Raw genomic sequence first — 4,162 nt, forward strand, 5'->3', positions numbered from 1 at the left:
AATGGAGAAAAGAAGAGATGCAAAGAGCCATGATTCAAGTCTGTGATCCAACCCTGTTGCCCTTTCCAGCTCCTGAGGTTGAACTGATTTTTAATCAATATTGTTGCAGTTGGGTTACCTTCTCCAGTATAACTGAGAATCTCTGACAATCCATAAAAAGAACTGAATTTGCATGAGAACTACTTGGTCATTTTTAGCTGCTTCTCTTCTTAGTGGTATCTGAGATAACCTGTCCTCTTTTATTTGTGTGCTGGGGCAGCTCAAAGTTGAGACAAATCTCTGTTCTAGCTGCCTCATTGCCAGGGATGCATTCCCAGCACTTTGGGCCTATTACTGAAGAAAAAGATCCTGCTTTTTTTTTTTCTTTTTTCTGTTCAAAGTCTCACAGATGCCCTTGGATATACTTCAGATAAACATGAATCAAATCTAAGGAACTTTTGAAGTTTGCTCGTTAGTCCACTCAAAGAAAAAAGGCAATTTCCATATTAAATTGGGTATCATTTTGCAGCCATGCTATACTGAAAACTTTGTGTCTAGCAAATTTCAAGCTGTCAATCTTTGTGAGTGACTCCTTAAGAAGGGCTTACAAGTTGTGCCCCCAAAATGGGTGGAGTACTGGACTTCCCCCCGCGTAATGAAAGCCCATTGTAGGAGACCATTCATAAGATAATTTAAAAGCCTTTTAAGCTGCAGCACCTCTGCCACTAATTGCTAGGCAAGACATTACCATCAGAGGCCCAGATTGCTCTTTAAAAAGTTTTGCGAGGAAATAAAGCCTTGTCATCGAAAGCTTTTTCAAATGTGCTCTTCTTCCTTATGCTAGAAGCAGTAGTCAGCCTGGACTTTGCATGTAATGAGACTGTGAATGGTTGATGAGTGTCTGCTACTAGAGGAAGAAACAATGAATGAGGGGTGAAGTGAATGGGGGCTTTCTTGTCATTGTGTGTAGCTTGCATTAAAGCAAAAAAGAGGATTTCTGGATTTGCACTAAGACTAGAAGCCAGAGGTCTGCTTTTTTTTTCCTTCCTTGCTCCCTTTACTCAAAACAACTGGGAATAGAAGAGAAGACAGACAGACATAATTTCTTCAGGAAAATACAATAAATAACTCTATTAAAAAGGAGCCCTTAATAATAGGGAAAATAACCTTCTTTTTAATGTATTCTAGAATAATCATTTGAGTGTTATAACATTATGAATCTGTATAAAGAAATATCTTTATGGTACTGTTTTTGTTTTAATTTTTTTTGAATTGAGTTTTCAAATAACAGCTAAAGGATTGGGGTACCGGATTCTTTATTACACCAAATTACATCATCCCTTTTTTTTATTGCTATCATTTATTTCATGATAATTGCCTTTCATTAAGACAAACTCTTCCTGTTAATAAACATTATTTCCCAGAATACTCAAAGTTTTACTCTTTGGTCTGGCACTGACTATTTTTTGTTCTTTGGTTTGAACCAATATAGAAAACGGAAAGGTGGCCCATCACAGGGCAAGAAAGTAATGATGTTTCTAAATATGTCTTATTCTAAGTCAGATATAGACACTCTTGGCTATGCTGTTCAAAGTGGCAATTAGTATTTGATATATTCTTAATGATCTGCTAATTCTTGTAAAGTTTCTATTTTATGATCCACTAATTCTTGTAAAATTTCTAATGTATGCAGATTATTAAATGCTGCTAATAATTTTCCTTGTAGAAATTACAACATATGAAGATATTTACTATATTTATTACTTGTAATCCAACTATTTAAAAATATCTTTAAAGTGACATAATAGAAAATGCAATAACATAATATAAATACAATAATGCTATTCAGGTAGAAATGAGGAAATTAGTGAAATATAAAAACTAGAGTAAATAAAATAATATAAGCTAATATAGTATCCACAATTAAGTATTCAATTTACCTGTGTGATTCCTGGCTATTTAGAGCCAAAATGGGAATCTAATATTCTTGTCTATATGTAATAAAAGAAAATATAAGCTTTTCTTTTTTTTTTAAAGAAATGTTCCTGCAACTAATTAATAATAATAAAGTAACCAATGGGCATATCCTATCGCATTAGTAGCGTAGTATCAGATACGCAGAATAAATGTACAGTTTCCCCTTAACAAAAAGATTTTTAAAAAAAGTTTGGTTCTCTTTCAGCATGTGACATCTGACATCTCAGAGGCTTGGAGGCCAGCTCAGTTCGAAATTCTATTGTGGGAATAAAGAGTTTGGGGTGCCTCTGTCTTTAAGCTTTTGAAAATGACAGCATGCCTACGAAAACAAAAGCAAAACAAAGCAAACAGGGAACTGCCTATAGTTCTAGTGAATATTTGCTCTTTAGGAAATACTCCAGGTTGAAAGTTTGTTTTCTTCTTAGTAAATTGGACCCTCTTTTTTAAAAAAAAGTTAATTGATCACCATACATACAAGGGAACTCTGACCCTGCTAACCTCAAATGTGAGGTTTAATCTGAAATTAAAATGAATTCACTGTGGTTAATAGAATAACTGTATCTCCCTAGCATGGTCTTTCTAGAAGTGCGCAGTGTGCTCCGATCATTTGCCACAGTGTAAGCTACATTCGCCCAGTCATTCTAAGACCATCTACTAAAAGTCTCTTGAACAGTGAAGCACGTACAGGAGCTCAGCGGAGCCCAGAGGGAAACTGTACCTGTTTAGGGGCACTGTTAAAAGAGAGAATACTGTTGCTTCAAGTCTTAGTGAAATAATTTTTCTAATCAGGAAATTCAATATTACTCTTCTGGAGATGAATCAGATTTTTGAAGACCAAAAAGACATTGCTCTGCTAGTCCAGTTAGCGACTTTCTCAAAAAAAAAAAAAAAAAATCAAAAGGCAGACTTGCTTCCATTTGATGCTAAAGTCAGGCTACTCTGACTGCCCTGGATCACTGTTTCCAGCATGCAAATAGAAGGTCAGAAGCTTCTGTCATGCACGAAGTGGTGTAGATCTGGGGAATCAGGATGTAATCAATTTGGCTTAAGCCTTTTGTATTTTCTCATTGACTAGTGAAGATACCATCTTCTCTGTTAAAAGTGCATGATTAAATTTCTTAGCTACCTCTGGTCAAATGGAAAGTAACTCTGCATTTTCTTTTGTCTATTGGAGATTATAAAATATCTAGAACTGATTTATCCTATTCCTCTCTATCCTTTCTATCTGATTTCATCACTGTACATTGATGAAGAAACAAGATTTATAGAACACGTCCACTACACACTCACCACTGTCAATGTTGCAGAAAACAATGCTACAAATATCTGTCTGCAGAAAGAAAAAAAAAATCAAACTTCAGAACCATTTCTAGTTGTAGAGCTATTAGGAGTGGAAAAAACAAACATTCTTTGTTCTTCTCACCTTTCATTCTGTTTTGTTCTTAATATGGCAGCATAGGCTTTTAGTAATGAGCTGCCCTATCGAGCGTGCCCTTCAGATTATCACGGAGGCACTTTGACAGGAAGAAAGGTTTGATTCTGTTACTTACTAGCTGTGTGGCCACAGAAAATTCCCTTGATCTTCTCTCAGTCTCCTCACATCTAAATAGGAATAGTGATCTACACTTTAAAGTTTTGCTGTGTTAAATAAGATAATGTGTGTAAAATGTCCAGTATCTCTAGCAAGCCTCCAAAATATAATAGGTCCCCCCAGTTGCTTTTTCATGCCATAAAATTAATCAAGTAAACATAACATTATAAGGATACCCCCCACCCCAACCCAGTATGGTCCTCTGTTTTGAGGTCTCCAAGAGTAAAAAATGACTGAAAATGGTGATTTTTCTCTGAGAAATGGCACTGGGGGTAGGAGGGTGTGGTTATAGGGAGATGGTATTTGCTTTGTCTTATATTCCAATTTTCTACAGTGAGAATACAGGTAGGTATCATTTGTGTATAAAAATATTCAATAATATTAGTGTAATCACAAAAATATATGTATAAATATCATGCCAAAATAATCAATACATTATAAAGGTCATGCGCTGCTATTTATTCCTATTTGTTAAAAGGTAAGCAGCTGGGAATGCACTGGTCAAACATACAAGTGTTTCTTTGACTAGTGATTTTCCTTATTGTGCTTTGCAAAATTATATTACATAATAAATCTTGGAAGGTGTTATATGCATGTATAATTACTGTTCCTTTG

General features: G+C 35.1%; 1 annotated feature.

Annotated features, from left to right (window-relative positions):
* Positions 445-946: an enhancer, noted in NCBI's record as "NANOG hESC enhancer chr18:26102096-26102597 (GRCh37/hg19 assembly coordinates)". NCBI's record gives its function as "activates a minimal SCP1, AML or CMV promoter by ChIP-STARR-seq in primed H9 embryonic stem cells {active_cell/tissue: H9 hESC(primed)}" and the evidence as "EXISTENCE:reporter gene assay evidence [ECO:0000049][PMID:30033119]".

This window comes from Homo sapiens, chromosome 18 (genome assembly GCF_000001405.40).
Source record: "Homo sapiens chromosome 18, GRCh38.p14 Primary Assembly".
In the NCBI taxonomy this organism is placed as follows: domain Eukaryota; kingdom Metazoa; phylum Chordata; class Mammalia; order Primates; family Hominidae; genus Homo; species Homo sapiens.